This window comes from Homo sapiens, chromosome 8, assembly GCF_000001405.40.
Source record: "Homo sapiens chromosome 8, GRCh38.p14 Primary Assembly".
Lineage (NCBI taxonomy): Eukaryota > Metazoa > Chordata > Mammalia > Primates > Hominidae > Homo > Homo sapiens.
Window position 1 is genome coordinate 84616109 of NC_000008.11, and position 16053 is coordinate 84632161.

General features: G+C 37.5%; 1 protein-coding gene across 55 annotated transcripts in view, besides 2 other annotated features; it reads left to right on the plus strand.

Annotated features, from left to right (window-relative positions):
- RALYL (RALY RNA binding protein like) overlaps positions 1-16053 on the plus strand; it is a 739058-nt gene that overhangs the window by 433322 nt on the left and 289683 nt on the right. The window lies entirely within an intron of this gene.
- Positions 4647-5167: an enhancer, noted in NCBI's record as "NANOG-H3K4me1 hESC enhancer chr8:85532990-85533510 (GRCh37/hg19 assembly coordinates)". NCBI's record gives its function as "activates a minimal SCP1, AML or CMV promoter by ChIP-STARR-seq in naive H9 embryonic stem cells {active_cell/tissue: H9 hESC(naive)}" and the evidence as "EXISTENCE:reporter gene assay evidence [ECO:0000049][PMID:30033119]".
- Positions 10046-10340: an enhancer, noted in NCBI's record as "tiled region #11463; K562 Activating DNase unmatched - State 12:CtcfO". NCBI's record gives its function as "activates a minimal TATA promoter and a strong SV40 promoter by Sharpr-MPRA in K562 cells {active_cell/tissue: K562}" and the evidence as "EXISTENCE:reporter gene assay evidence [ECO:0000049][PMID:27701403]".

Below are 16053 nucleotides of genomic sequence, written 5' to 3' on the forward strand. Positions count from 1 at the left end.
CCCGTAATGGGATGGCTGGGTCAAATGGTATTTCTAGTTCTAGATCCCTGAGGAATCGCCACACTGACTTCCACAATGGTTGAACTAGTTTACAGTCCCACCAACAGTGTAAAAGTGTTCCTATTTCTCCACATCCTCTCCAGCACCTGTTGTTTCCTGACTTTTTAATGATTGCCATTCTAACTGGTGTGAGATGGTATCTCATTGTGGTTTTGATTTGCATTTCTCTGATGGCCAGTGATGATGAACATTTTTTCATGTGTTTTTTGGCTGCATAAATGTCTTCTTTTGAGAAGTGTCTGTTCATGTCCTTTGCCCACTTTTTGATGGGGTTGTTTTTTTCTTGTAAATTTGTTTGAGTTCATTGTAGATTCTGGATATTAGCCCTTTGTCAGATGAGTAGGTTGCAAAAATTTTCTCCCATTTTGTAGGTTGCCTGTTCACTCTGATGGTAGTTTCTTTTGCTGTGCAGAAGCTCTTTAGTTTAATTAGATCCCATTTGTCAATTTTGGCTTTTGTTGCCATTGCTTTTGGTGTTTTAGACATGAAGTCCTTGCCATGCCTATGTCCTGAATGGTAATGCCTAGGTTTTCTTCTAGGGTTTTTATGGTTTTAGGTCTAACGTTTAAGTCTTTAATCCATCTTGAATTGATTTTTGTATAAGGTGTAAGGAAGGGATCCAGTTTCAGCTTTCTACATATGCCTAGTCAGTTTTCCCAGCACCATTTATTAAGTAGGGAATCCTTTCCCCATTGCTTGTTTTTCTCAGGTTTGTCAAAGATCAGATAGTTGTAGATATGTGGCATTATTTCTGAGGGCTCTGTTCTGTTCCATTGATCTATATCTCTGTTTTGGTACCAGTACCATGCTGTTTTGGTTACTGTAGCCTTGTAGTATAGTTTGAAGTCAGGTAGTGTGATGCCTCCAGCTTTGTTCTTTTGGCTTAGGATTGACTCGGTGATGCAGGCTCTTTTTTGGTTCCATATGAACTTTAAAGTAGTTTTTTCCAATTCTGTGAAGAAAGTCATTGGTAGCTTGATGGGGATGGCATTGAATCTATAAATTACCTTGGGCAGTATGGCCATTTTCACGATATTGATTGTTCCTACCCATGAGCATGGAATGTTCTTCCATTTGTTTGTATCCTCTTTTATTTCCTTGAGCAGTGGATTGTAGTTCTCCTGCAAGAGGTCCTTCACATCCCTTGTAAGTTGGATTCCTAGGTATTTTATTTTCTTTGAAGCAATTGTGAATGGGAGTTCACTCATGATTTGGCTCTCTGTTTGTCTGTTGTTGGTGTATAAGAATGCTTGTGATTTTTGTACACTGATTTTGTATCCTGAGACTTTGCTGAAGTTGCTTATCAGCTTAAGGAGATTTTGGGCTGAGACAATGGGGTTTTCTAGGTATACAATCATGTCATCTGCAAACAGGGACAATTTGACTTCCTCTTTTCCTAATTGAATACCCTTTATTTCCTTCTCCTGCCTAATTGCCCTGGCCAGAACTTCCAACACTATGTTGAATAGGAGTGGTGAGAGAGGGCATCCCTGTCTTGTGCCAGTTTTCAAAGGGAATGCTTCCAGTTTTTGCCCATTCAGTATGATATTGGCTGTGGATTTGTCATAGATAGCTCTTATTATTTTGAAATACGTCCCATCAATACCTAATTTATTGAGAGTTTTTAGCATGAAGCGTTGTTGAATTTTGTCAAAGGCCTTTTCTGCATCTATTGAGATAATCATGTGGTTTTTGTCTTTGGCTCTGTCTTTATGCTGGATTACATTTATTGATTTGCGTATATTGAACCAGCCTTGCATCCCAGGGATGAAGCCCACTTGATCATGGTGGATAAGCCTTTTGATGTGCTGCTGGATTCGTTTTGCCAGCATTTTATTGAGGATTTTTGCATTAATGTTCATCAAGGATATTGGTCTAAAATTCTCTTTTTTGGTTGTGTCTCTGCCCGGCTTTGGTATCAGAGTGATGCTGGCCTCATAAAATGAGTTAGGGAGGATTCCCTCTTTTTCTATTGATTGGAATAGTTTCAGAAGGAATGGTACCAGTTCTTCCTTGTACCTCTGGTAGAATTCGGCTGTGAATCCATTTGGTCCTGGACTCTTTTTGGTTGGTAAGCTATTGATTATTGCCACAATTTCAGAGTCTGTTATTGGTCTATTCAGAGATTCAACTTCTTCCTGGTTTAGTCTTGGGAGGGTGTATGTGTCGAGGAATTTATCCATTTCTTCTAGATTTTGTAGTTTATTTGCATAGAGGTGTTTGTAGTATTCTCTGATGGTAGTTTGTATTTCTGTGGGATTGGTGGTGATATCCCCTTTATCATTTTTTATTGCGTCTATTTGATTCTTCTCTCTTTTTTTCTTTATTAGTCTTGCTAGCGGTCTATCAATTTTGTTGATCCTTTCAAAAAACCAGCTCCTGGATTCATTAATTTTTTGAAGGGTTTTTTGTGTCTCTATTTCCTTCAGTTCTGCTCTGATTTTAGTTATTTCTTGCCTTCTGCTAGCTTTTGAATGTGTTTGCTCTTGCTTTTCTAGTTCTTTTAATTGTGATGTTAGGGTGTCAATTTTGGATCTTTCCTGCTTTCTCTTGTGGGCATTTAGTGCTATAAATTTCCCTCTACACACTGCTTTGAATGCGTCCCAGAGATTCTGGTATGTTGTGTCTTTGTTCTCATTGGTTTCAAAGAACATCTTTATTTCTGCCTTCATTTCGTTATGTACCCAGTAGTCATTCAGGAGCAGGTTGTTCAGTTTCCATGTAGTTGAGCGGTTTTGAGTGAGATTCTTAATCCTGAGTTCTAGTTTGATTGCACTGTGGTCTGAGAGATAGTTTGTTATAATTTGTGTTCTTTTACATTTGCTGAGGAGAGCTTTACTTCCAAGTATGTGGTCAATTTTGGAATAGGTGTGGTGTGGTGCTGAAAAAAATGTATATTCTGTTGATTTGGGGTGGACAGTTCTGTAGATGTCTATTAGGTCCACTTGGTGCAGAGCTGAGTTCAATTCCTGGGTATCCTTGTTGACTTTCTGTCTCATTGATCTGTCTAATGTTGACAGTGGGGTGTTAAAGTCTCCCATTATTAATGTGTGGCAGTCCAAGTCTCTTTGTAGGTCACTCAGGACTTGCTTTATGAATCTGGGTGCTCCGTGTTGGGTGCATATATATTTAGGATAGTTAGCTCTTCTTGTTGAATTGATCCCTTTACCATTATGTAATGGCCTTCTTTGTCTCTTTTGATTTTTGTTGGTTTAAAGTCTGTTTTATCAGAGACTAGGATTGCAACCCCTGCCTTTTTTTGTTTTCCATTTGCTTGGTAGATCTTCCTCCATCCTTTTATTTTGAGCCTATGTGTGTCTCTGCACGTGAGATGGGTTTCCTGAATACAGCACACTGATGGGTCTTGACTCTTTATCCAATTTGCCAGTCTGTGTCTTTTAATTGGAGCATTTAGTCCATTTACATTTAAAGTTAATATTGTTATGTGTGAATTTGATCCTGTCATTATGATGTTAGCTGGTTATTTTGCTCGTTAGTTGATGCAGTTACTTCCTAGTCTCGATGGTCTTTACATTTTGGCATGATTTTGCAGCAGCTGGTGCCGGTTGTTCCTTTCCATGTTTAGCGCTTCCTTCAGGAGCTCTTTTAGGGCAGGCCTGATGGTGACAAAATCTCTCAGCATTTGCTTGTCTGTAAAGTATTCTATTTCTCCTTCACTTATGAAGCTTAGTTTGGCTGGATATGAAATTCTGGGTTGAAAATTCTTTTCTTTAAGAATGTTGAATATTGGCCCCCACTCTCTTCTGGCTTGTAGGGTTTCTGCTGAGAGATCCGCTGTTAGTCTGATGGGCTTCCCTTTGAGGGTAACCCGACCTTTCTCTCTGGCTGCCCTTAACAATTTTTCCTTCATTTCAACTTTGGTGAATCTGACAATTATGTGTCTTGGAGTTGCTCTTCTCGAGGAGTATCTTTGTGGCATTCTCTGTATTTCCTGAATCTGAATGTTGGCCTGCCTTGCTAGATTGGGGAAGTTCTCCTGGATAATATCTTGCAGAGTGTTTTCCAACTTGGTTCCATTCTCCCCATCACTTTCAGGTACACCAATCAGACGTAGATTTGGTCTTTTCACATAGTCCCATATTTCTTGGAGGCTTTGCTCATTTCTTTTTATTACTTTTTCTCTAAACTTCCCTTCTCGCTTCATTTCATTCATTTCATCTTCCATTGCTGATACCCTTTCTTCCAGTTGATCGCATCGGCTCCTGAGGCTTCTGCATTCTTCACGTAGTTCTCGAGCCTTGGTTTGCAGCTCCATCAGCTCCTTTAGGCACTTCTCTGTATTGGTTATTCTAGTTATACATTCTTCTAAATTGTTTTCAAAGTTTTCAACTTCTTTGCCTTTGGTTTGAATGTCCTCCCGTAGCTCAGAGTAATTTGATCATCTGAAGCCTTCTTCTCTCAGCTCGTCAAAGTCATTCTCCATCCAGTTTTGTTCCATTGCTGGTGAGGAACTGCATTCCTTTGGAGGAGGAGAGGCACTCTGCTTTTTAGAGTTTCCAGTTTTTCTGTTCTGTTTTTTCCCCATCTTTGTGGTTTTATCTACTTTTGGTCTTTGATGATGGTGATGTACAGATGGGTTTTTGGTGTGGATGTCCTTTCTGTTTGTTAGTTTTCCTTCTAACAGACAGGACCCTCAGCTGCAGGTCTGCTGGAGTACCCTGCCGTGTGAGGTGTCAGTGTGCCCCTGCTGGGGGGTGCCTCCCAGTTAGGCTGCTCGGGGGTCAGGGGACAGGGACCCACTTGAGGAGGCAGTCTGCCCGTTCTCAGATCTCCAGCTGCGTGCTGGGAGAACCACTGCTCTCTTCAAAGCTGTCAGACAGGGACATTTAAGTCTGCAGAGGTTACTGCTGTCTTTTTGTTTGTGCCCTGCCCCCAGAGGTGGAGCCTACAGAGGCAGGCAGGCCTCCTTGAGCTGTGGTGGGCTCCACCCAGTTCGAGCTTCCTGGCTGCTCTGTTTACCTAAGCACGCCTGGGCAATGGTGGGTGCCCCTCCCCCAGCCTTGCTGCCCCCTTGCAGTCTGATCTCAGACTGCCGTGCTAGCAATCAGGGAGACTCCGTGGGCGTGGGCGTAGGACTCTCTGAGCCAGGTGCAGGATATAATCTCGTGGTCTGCCATTTTTTAAGCCCGTCGGAAAAGCGCAGTATTCGGGTGGGAGCCACCCAATTTTCCAGGTGCCGGCTGTCCCCCCTTTCTTTGACTAGGAAAGGGAACTCCCTGACCCCTTGCACTTCCGGAGTGAGGCAATGCCTCACCCTGCTTCGGCTGGCGCACAGTGCACGCACCCACTGACCTGCGCCCACTGTCTGGCACTCCCTAGTGAGATGAACCCGGTACCTCAGATGGAAATGCAGAAATCACCTGTCTTCGGCGTCGCTCACGCTGGGAGCTGTAGACCGGAGCTGTTCCTATTCAGCCATCTTGGCTCCTCCCCCGACTATAGAACTTTCATACAGTACATGAACTTCATAAAAACAATTTCTCTGCTTAAAAGGCTTTTTCTAATTTACTTCAAGGTTTCCTATCCTAATGTAGACTTAGGTTAGCTGTAGCCTTGTAGGATTTAAAGAGAGAATAGATTGTAAGAGATGAGTTCTAAATTCAGACAGATTCTCAAGGGCATGATTCTTATGAATATGTATAATGTCAACTCTAGCCTATGTGGATTTCTAGTCCTTTGCAGTGCTAATTTAGCCATTATTTTCAAGCTCTTTTTCTATGAAACCAATTTACTATGACTTTTTGGTAAGGCTTTTATAACATTTGCTAATTACAAGGTGACATCTGCATAATTATTAATTATGAAGTTACATCTGCATAATGAATATTACCAATAATTTAACTTAAATGTTTCAGTTAAAACTTTAAATGCATGGAATTAACCAGAAGTCACAATGAGTTGCTACTGTATCAGTTATAGAATTGAGAAGGAAACAATTCAAGACAAACATAGTAGTGAATGAAAATTTGAGCTTTAACACTGCATGAATGAGAGGAAAGATGAGTTTGATGCCACAAAGAAAAAGGGGTCATACGTGGTAATAACCTGGTAGAGAGTTAAGAGAAAGTCTCATCCCAAAGTATATTTCAGCATGAAGGGCTTGTTAAAATTTATTCTAGGAAGAATATAAAAGTGTTTGCTTTATTGGTAATGTTAAAGAAATCTACACTGTGATTTTCTTTGAGCTCAGAATTCAGCCTCAGATATGAGCATCGTTTACTAGGCCAGGCTATGTTCTAAGTATTTAAAAATTTTGGAATCTTATCTGAGCCACTAAATTTTGAGCAGATTTTACAGAGAGTGGCATCATTTCCTAGAAAAACAGCAGCAACAAATGTGGGGAAAAGAGGGATGTCCTCAGGGTTAGTGTGTCCAGGGATCAGGACAACGCTCCACAGAGTCGAGGGGCATTAGTACATATAATTATTCCAGGGAAGTCTCTCTCAGAGGCCATAAGACCAATTTCTATTTAGTTTCCTTGCTGTCATATGGAAGAGATTGAAGTCTGCTGGCATCAATGAGGTAAGGACTCTGCCATCATAAAGTCCTGTGGATTATGGAAAGCCCATGTAGAAAATAATGGGAAATAAAGGAAACAACAATACTGTTTAATTTGAAAAATAGACATATCTGTGTCTCAAGATGTAAGAATTGACGAGTACACACCAAGTCGTTGTTATCTACGTGGAAAAAAATAGTAAATGTATTTATTATTAGAGGATGTGAAGTTTGGTTGTGACAAATTAAAGACTGCACCTTTTTGAGATAGTCATGTAACATTTTCAGTGACTATCTCTTAAGGCATTGTGCACACCATACTGCTTAAAATTCAAGATCCTTGTGACTGAAAGCCAGTTCTGATTATAATAGACACAATTCTCAATGCTAAGTTCTAACAAATTAAATGTGTCCCTGAATGTGACAGTAAAACTTCTAAGTTTTATTCCATTTTCAAAGATTAGCTCAGTTCCACTTGTCAGCTGGGACATGCTGTTAGATTTGTTGTTTTATTGTATTGTTTAAATGTTCAGTGGGCACAAGTTTTTCATAGGTAAAGAATTAATGTGTCATGTTATCGTGACACATTAATTTTAGATACATCAGTCTAAAAGCATGAAAGTTTATTTTGATCCAGTTCACCGCATAAAATAATCACTACCCATTTTCACTTCAAAGGGCATATCTTGATATGTATAGAAGGATAGTGTTGAAAATAATTGTGTTTATGAAATTAATAAATCTCCAAAGTAGTGGTCCAAAAAATATTTTACCCCTTAGGTCATCCTACTGTCCTGTAAGTTACCAACAGTAAGTAGAATTAAATTTACATACTCTTAATATTGAGATGATTGCTGACCTTGAGAATAATTATTTTAGAGAGGTAGGGAGAGGAAGTTGTCAATTGGGGTGCATTAAGGGGAGAGTATGAGATGAGAACATGAAATGAAAGAATACAAACAGCAATTCGAAGAAGTTTTTCTCTAAATAGGAGCAGGAAAATCATGTGGGAGTTGATGGTGAGGAGGGATGTTGGTACAAATAGTTACCCTTTCACATGATGAGGACTATCACAAATATGCTGTGGGAAAAAAAGAGTGAGAGGAAAAAAAATTTAAAATATCCTTGAGCAAATCAAAGAGCATGGAATCCAAGCCTAAGCAGAAGGATTTGTTTCAACAGGAAGGGACCAATGGCCCCATCATGAACGTGGAAAGTCTGACCATCCTAGGTACATGAGGTTGGTAGGTCTGATAGTGGGAGATGAGATACTTCTCTTTCGACTGGTACTATTGTCTGTGTGAAATAATCACTTGAATAAACAAGTCTTGACAGAAAAGAGTTGAAGTTTTCACTTTGGGTTATTGTTAGTCTTTAGAGATCATCATATTCAACATCCCTCTCTGTCCAGGAATCAGATGAATAGTGCTCAGATATTTTGAACATGGCCATCCAGCAATGAGCAGCTTAGTTTTTCAAGGACAGCCCTTTCTGTGTTTAGACATCACTAATTTTTAGAAAACCTTTTCTTACTGTACTAGTTCTCTACTGCAGCTCTAACAAATTACCACAACTGAGCTGCTAGAAACAACCCAAGTGCATTATCATACAATTCTGTAAGTCAGAAGCCTAACGTGGGTTTTACTGGGCTAAAGTCAAAGTTTCAGTAAGTTTTGTGTTCCTTTTTGGAGGCTATAGGAAAGAATCCTTTTCCTTGTCTTTTCTGATTTTTAAAGGCCATGCACATTCCTTGGCGCATGGCCCCCTTTTTCATCTTCAATGCCAGCACCATTGCATCTCTCTGTGTGTTTCTGCTATGGTCATATCTTCCTCTGACTGACTGCACTTAGAAAAGGTTCTCTGCTTTTAAGGATGCATGTGATTAGATTGAGCACTTCTGGATAATCAGGACATCTCCCCATCTCAAGGTCCACAACCTTAATGCCATCTGCAAAGGCCTCTTTTTGTCTTGTAAGATTACATATTCACAGTCTACAAGGATTAGGACATGGACGTCTTTGGGGAACATTAGTCTGCCTACCACACTTGTTTTAGGTTTAAATCTTTTGCACACTGCCTCTTGACTTACCCTATCGAATTGTGAAACAAAATAGAGTCATTCTTTCCTTTTCCATAGAATAATCCTGTCAGATGTTTCAATGTAACCTTCAGGGGCTCTTGTCTTTTACCTCCCAAAATTTCTCCTAAACTTCTGTGCCCATAAGTAAACATAAGTCATACTGACATCATTGACATCATATAGTCTTTTTATACATATAGAGAAATGCATTCATAGATAATTTGAAAGTCACAGAGTACACAGAAACTGGAGTTTATTTGAATAGTGTTACAGTATATCTTAGAATTATGTCATAGTGTCCTTTTCAAAATATGAAAAACAAGTTTACATGTAAAATTATGTTGAAAAGAAAGTGATGAAACTGTCTTTCAAGCAAGTTGATTTTAATTTGGTTCAATTTCACAGTCCTTAATTGAACATTACTGGTACCTTATGAAACAATCTCTACCCTAATGACCTGGGGCTAATTGGGATGATGGGCACAAATGGTTTTATTGTATTATAGTAAATGAAATGATATAGTAATTATAGGATGCAATAGGAAAATAGCTTCGGGCAGAAGTAAAGAACTCTTCCTGGAATTGTCTCCTGTGCTAAATTTTAGTAGATGAGAAGTTAGGAAAGTGTACTGTATGGCAAGCACTTTCCAGACAACAGAAATAGAAGAAGTAAAAACACTGTGAAGCACCAAACATTATAGAGAGAGTGTATTTGGTAAGTATCAAGAAGCTCATGAATAGTACTAGTAGTAGCTTTAAATTCTGATTAGCATTTACTATTTATCAGCTAACTTTTCTAAGTGCTTTATTATTTTAACCTTCATAGAGATCCCATAAAGTAGATACCATAATTACCTAAATTCATTAGTTCAGGGAACTGAGGCACAAAGAGGTTAAGCAACTTGCCAACAATGTATAGCAAATCCAAGGTTTAAAACTCTGGAAGTCTGAAATCAAAGATTCTGTTACACCATACAAGCTCTCAGGATGACCAGAATATAAAGAATAAAGCAAAGAGTGGTGAATGATAAGGAATGTCAGCAGGAGTTTTTGTTAGAGCTGGAACCTTAACCAGTGGTGGAGGGGCTCCCTTGATGGGGTTAAACAGAAGAGTGTCATGGTCAAGTCACATGTCACTGTGGTTGTCATTGTGGTTGTGGTTATGTGGAGGGAGTGGGAAGTGATAAAAAGAGAAACACGCTAAAAGGTAATTCAGAGACAGGGGCACTTATCCAAGTAAAATATGACAAAAATATAGCAGAGTTAGCAAAGAAAAAAAAGGCTGAAAATGATAAATATTTAGGAAGTAAAATAACAGGATGTGATATTTGTATACAGGAGTATGTGATATAATAAAAATGAGATAAGAGATAACACTCAGTACTATAGTTTGACTTTTGAACTTTTGTAATTTACTAAGTTAGAGAACACTTAATAAGAGCGGAAAATACGTTTAAGTTGAACATACTGAGATAAAGCTGCATGTGAGAATTCCAGGCTGTGCCACTAGGCGGCGGCATTTGTGCGCCTGCATTGTGCGAATTCCGCCCAAGCTTTACTCTCTGCATGATTTGTCAGTGAAATTCTGAATGTCTAAAGACCTCTCATTCTCCACTTCTGTTGTATTATTAGTTTCTGACCACACGATGGAGTCATTTCTTCACATTTCCTCACACTGATTTTGTTTATTAAGAAAATCAATCCAGTCAAACACTAGCTGGAATAAAAGACATTTAAATTTTCAGAATATTCCTCTAAAAATTTAGGTTCTCTTTGACAAGGAACATAAAAATTAATTCAGTGAGTATTCAGAACCAGCTTCAGATTATTTAAAATGAAAATTGAGATTCCTGAAAAACATTAATTAATCCAGGAATATTGATTTTAAAAATTGTTTAGAGACACTGAAAAAGCATAAATATATAACTACTTGAGAAACTTTGTTAAGTCTGAATCAAATTTGGAATTCATTTAAAGCAGGTGATTGACTGTACACAAGTATATTGTCAAGCTGCATTCTATTTTGTGTATGATCCTGCCAAGTTTTAATAAATATTAGTCTTCAACCTTTAATCAATAATGTTTTAGAAGAGAGTAACAATAAATGGTATTGGTAGAGCACCTTACAGTTTGCTGCGCTTTCACAGCCTTATTTCGTGTGACACTGACAGACCAGTCAATTAAACCCCTATTCCAAGGAAAATGTAAAGAACTGATTCTAGACAAAGAAAAAATTAGTACTATTATCTCCCTTCACCTTACACATTTATACTGCCTCTGGTACACTCTTGCTCTTTAACAATGTATCTTCAATTTAATATCCAAAATCTGTTACAACGCTTTTAAATTACTGCAACAATAGAAGCATATGGTTCTTAACCTTTCAGGGTTGGATTGAATGACCTAAAAAGGGCTTCTGAAGTCTTCAACTTAGCATTCGTCTTTCCAGGTCAAATAATCCCTCCTATTTTTTCTCGCAGGGTGATCAGTCTTTTTGGAATGATCTCTCTCTTAGACCATGATAATTTTCCAGTTCTTTGTTCAGAATCTGGGTACCTGAAATCCCTATCCCAGATGATGTTTTTATACTAAGGCATAGCTGGGAGGAAGCCTCAATGGAAATACTGTCATTCTTAATTTTACAGTCATCTAGTGTGCCTTTCACTGCTCTCCAGAGAGAGGTCTTATCGAGTGGCTAGGATTCCAAATTCATGGACAATTTTCAGTTTTTATCTCCTAGGGTCTCTTTAATACATACAGCATTTCTTTCTTCCTGCAGAAGAAAGAAACACTTTCTTCCTGTGTTCTCCTAGATTTCTTCGTGCATTTCTGGCCACTCTTTCTCAGCTTCTTTTCCCCTGTCTCTTTCACTTCTTTCTCTGTATTCTGTTAAATACCAGATTTATTTCTCTAGCTCAGACCTATTCTATGAGCTGAGGTCTTATAGATAAAATTGAATTATTGATGTTTTTCACTTTCCCACCATAATGAATGATATGACCATCCATTCTTTCACTGTTCAAATGAGAAATCTCACACCCGTCTGTTTCCTCTCTCTTCTTTAATGCCCATATTTAAATTCAATCCTTCAATGTACCCTATCAAATCTATTTCAAATTGTACCCCACTAAATTCATGTCTATTTCCATTGTCAAAAGTTGATCCACTCTAAAATTCTCCATTTGGACCGTTATATTAGACTCCTGATTGCTGTTTCGTCTTTCTCTTTTGCCGTCTTTCAATCTATTCTCTGGAATCTCAAAGTAATCTTTTAAAAATATAAATACAACTAATGCCACTCATTGTGTAATACCTTTCAATGACTTACTGTTAGATGCAGAGTACAATCCTAACTACTAAACTTGATACAGTTTGGCTGGTATTTTTCGCTCCTCTTTTCTTAAGTAACTCTTTCCTCTTTTCATTATTCCATAGTCACCAACATTTATGCAACTTCTCAGCCCATGAATATTTTCTTCCTGCATTCACACATCTTAATTTTAATTAGTTCTTAGTTTCCCTGGCTCTTCCTCATCTTTCAAGTTTCAGATTTAGTAACACCTCCTCAAAAAGGCCTTCCTCACTCCCTATCCCATTATGATCCCCAATAGGCATGATTGTGTATTTTCTTCACGGTGCTTCCTAATTTGTGAACATTTATTTGCTTGTCTATTTCCCTTGTTAGAATATAAATTCCTTTGAGGGTAGACAAACTTACTTTTACCTACTACATTATTTAAGTCCTACAGAGTAGGTGATTATTAATATTCACCAAAAGAGTAAATGAATATATTTTTACATCAACTCATGTTGCAGTTAAATTCTGAAGAAATCATCACAGAAAATGGTAAGTAAAATCATAACATTTTGTTGAGAAATATCGGGGGATAGAGTGCTGATGGGGAGGACCATCACGGTAGGGTGCTGCTGAAGGAAACACCAAGTAAGAAGGGTGGATAGAGGGGCCTAGCAGGAATAACAGTAGCAGTCTCCATGAGCATCTACAATCTCAGATTGAAATACTGATGGAAGTTATTTTGGAAAATAATTTTTGTTTATTAAAACCAAAAATTGTTAATGGTAAAAAACAAAAATATTAATGGTGAAAGATCTTATTTCAGATGGTCTGTCCAGTAAAAAAAAATGTGGAGGATAATCTTTTGAAACAGATAATCTAATAGGCATAGATACAAAAAATAACTGCCATTATAGACATCTCAACTATCTGGATGCCTGATTGACTCAGCAAAAAGCACAGCATTTAATTACACCTAGAACCTTGACTCAGGATTATAATACACTGGAAGTGGCTACAGAAAATCTAGGCTGTTATTGAAATTGAATCCTCTAGGTGACTTCCCTAGTTTTTCTCTGTTGTGCATATCACCTTCTAATATACTAGGTATTTTATTTATCTGACTATTGACTGTCCTGCCTTATTGAATGTATGCTCCAAGAAGGCAGAAACCTTTGTCTATTTTGTTAACTTTAGTATCTCCTTCACCTAGATAGCAGGGGCTCAATAAACTTTTCTTTAATGGACAGAAATAAAAGTGACTACAATATTGTGCTGGAAATAATGTGAAAGTGTGGGAAAAATACTTCCAAAATGCATATATTCTGAGACTTAGATACTACTTCTGGGCATTCACCCTAGGAAAATAAGTGAGCAATACAAATATATAAGGATATTCATTGTGACACTTCTATAATAATAGTGAATAAGACTTAATCCTCAATAATGGCAGATTCATTAAACAAATTCTGGAAATTCCATGGAATGCAAACCTAAGCAAACAATGAAAATGGTACAGTGGAGATGTAAAGATATGTTACATATATTGCTCAGGGTAAATTCAGCTCATATGACAGAACAGTCTGTGTAATATGTATAATAATATACAATAGAGCATATATTTGTGTGTGTGTATATACACACAGTATTTCATAGACTAAAGCTTGAAAGGTTATGCACTACAATACTGAAAGTGGTTTTCAAGTGGAATTATGTGTGATTATTTTCCCCTTTTGTGTGTTTTCTAATTTTCCTACAATGAGTATGCATTTTTGGATGAAAAACCAAAAGGATATATGGTTTTCTAAGAGAAACTTTACTCCAGAAATTTTATAAATGACTATGCTGACATCCAAAAATGTTAAATGACATGCTAAAGGTCATGCAGCATTTTAATTTTCCTTTCAAAGAGCATCAACTCTGAGTAACTGAGAAAAGAAATAAGGGCTTGAAACTCCAAGCTTAATTCTGATTACCAAGAGAAAACATCATTTAAGCAAAGGGAAGTTTAGGACAATCAGGCTATATGATTTAGAATTTTTTCCAGCTAAGATTAGCACAACAAATGACAAAAATAATATTAAAAACAAAGATAGACTCTTAATTGGAAATGGAATTCAGAATGAGTAGAAGGCTCTGAAAATGGAATATTTGACATTACAAATGTTTCACTAATTAGTAACAGGAAAGCCACCCTAAATACAGCTTGGCTACCTAGTGTGCTCTCCAAAGAACTCTTAGTGTAACTGGGACCTACTAGTGTGGAGGGTTGAGTCATAATTCAGGACAGGTACATGAAGATAGCCAGGGAGGCCACCAAACTTTAAAAAACTTCAAACAACAACAAGAAGAAACCCTATATTCAACCAAGAAAAAGGGAAGTATGATGAGTCAGTTTGATTGCTTAGAATATGCATAGTTTCAAAAGGAATTTTGGGTGGGTAAGTGGGAAGGATGATGCAGTTTCTCCGCTGCTTCCATGTTTCTCCTCAATAATGCTCATCTTTAAATTAGGACGTTGAGGAAACTGAAGGCCCAAATGTTTTTTGGCCTCACTAAACTAGAAACTGTTAAATGAAGTTGATTTGAGAAAACTAAACACCAAAATATTTTTGCTGACATTACCAAACTAAAAACTGTTAAATGACAGTGGTAATGGCTGTATTCCCTGTGCCCAGCTCAATGGCTGTTGGAGAGTAGGTACTCCATAAACATCTGTGAAGGAGAGTAGAAATGTGAAGATTATCAGAAAAAGCAAAATAATTTAACCAATTCATCTGCATTTTCCAAAGAATTTAAACTTGGAATGCAAGAAGAAAAACTTGCAAATTAGATTAGATTTTATAAAATTAAGGAGATTTGGAGAGCATCAGAAGATTGAAACATAAACGTTTTTATTATCAGGATGCATTGCATGAACAACAGACAGGTGAACCTGACACTAAAACCAGGTAAAAATTCTAGAAGGCATATAGTTATTTTAGAAACATCGTGGAAGAAAAGTGTGATCATAAGGAGATTACCAACAAGTCCCAAACCCTATTTCATGTTTTGATAGTGTCACTAGGTTGATAAATTTTATAAATGCCTTTATAATGTTTCTGCATTTCAGCAAGGTCTTTGCCTATCTTAGCAAAGTCTGTCTTTCAGAAATCCCTCTTATTGTCCAAGAAAAGAAATATGGACTGTATGAAAATGGTATTAGCTTAGTTCATGTTGTTCTCTTAAGGTGACTCCCGCCCAAAAATCATTCAGTTTATTTTTTGTGGGTTCATATTTGAGTTCTGACTTGATCTTTTAAAAGCCTTTTAGTGTTTGGAAATTGAAGAAGTATTAATCTCTGAGTGTCACTTTCTCGTTTGAAAAACAAAAATACCAACAAAACTGCTTAAGGCTGTCATGGGATGAAAGATAAATTATATGAAAATCTTTTGAAACCTGTGTAACACTGCTCAAATACATGAGTATAATTATCATAATTTTCAAGATAGCACTGTTTTCAAGATGGTAGCTTCAGAAGGTAAACAGGGTCAAAAAGACAGTTTTTTTTTTGATATGAAGATCTGTACATAAGTGTAGACTGAGGTATAGAATTCAGGATAGAGGAAGACTGAAAGTACTGGAAAGAAAGAGGGTCAGGAACAGAGTCTTGGGAGAAAGTCAGTAGTAGAAACTATTCATTGATTTCTCCAACATCCTTCTTTTTGATATAATTGATGGCATTAGGACTTACATTCTGCGGATTCATATGGTCCTGGAAAAATTATACACAAAATTATTTGTATGATTTGAACAACTGTTACTTAAAGGTGAAGACATTTTATTAATCTAAATTGGCATTACTTATTTATATTATTAAACAAATTCCATATTATTAAGCAAATTCCAAACTGCTATGTTCTAAAAGCTTGTTTCCACCCCACCCCCCTGCCAAATTCATACGTTGAAATTGTAACTCCTAAAATGATATTAGGAAGGGCATCCTTTGGGAAGTGATTAGGTTATGAGGCTGGAGGCCTATTGAAAGGGGTTAGTGTCCTTATAAAATAGCTCATTATCCCCTCCCACCATGCGAGAGGACAGCTGGAAGATGCCGTCTA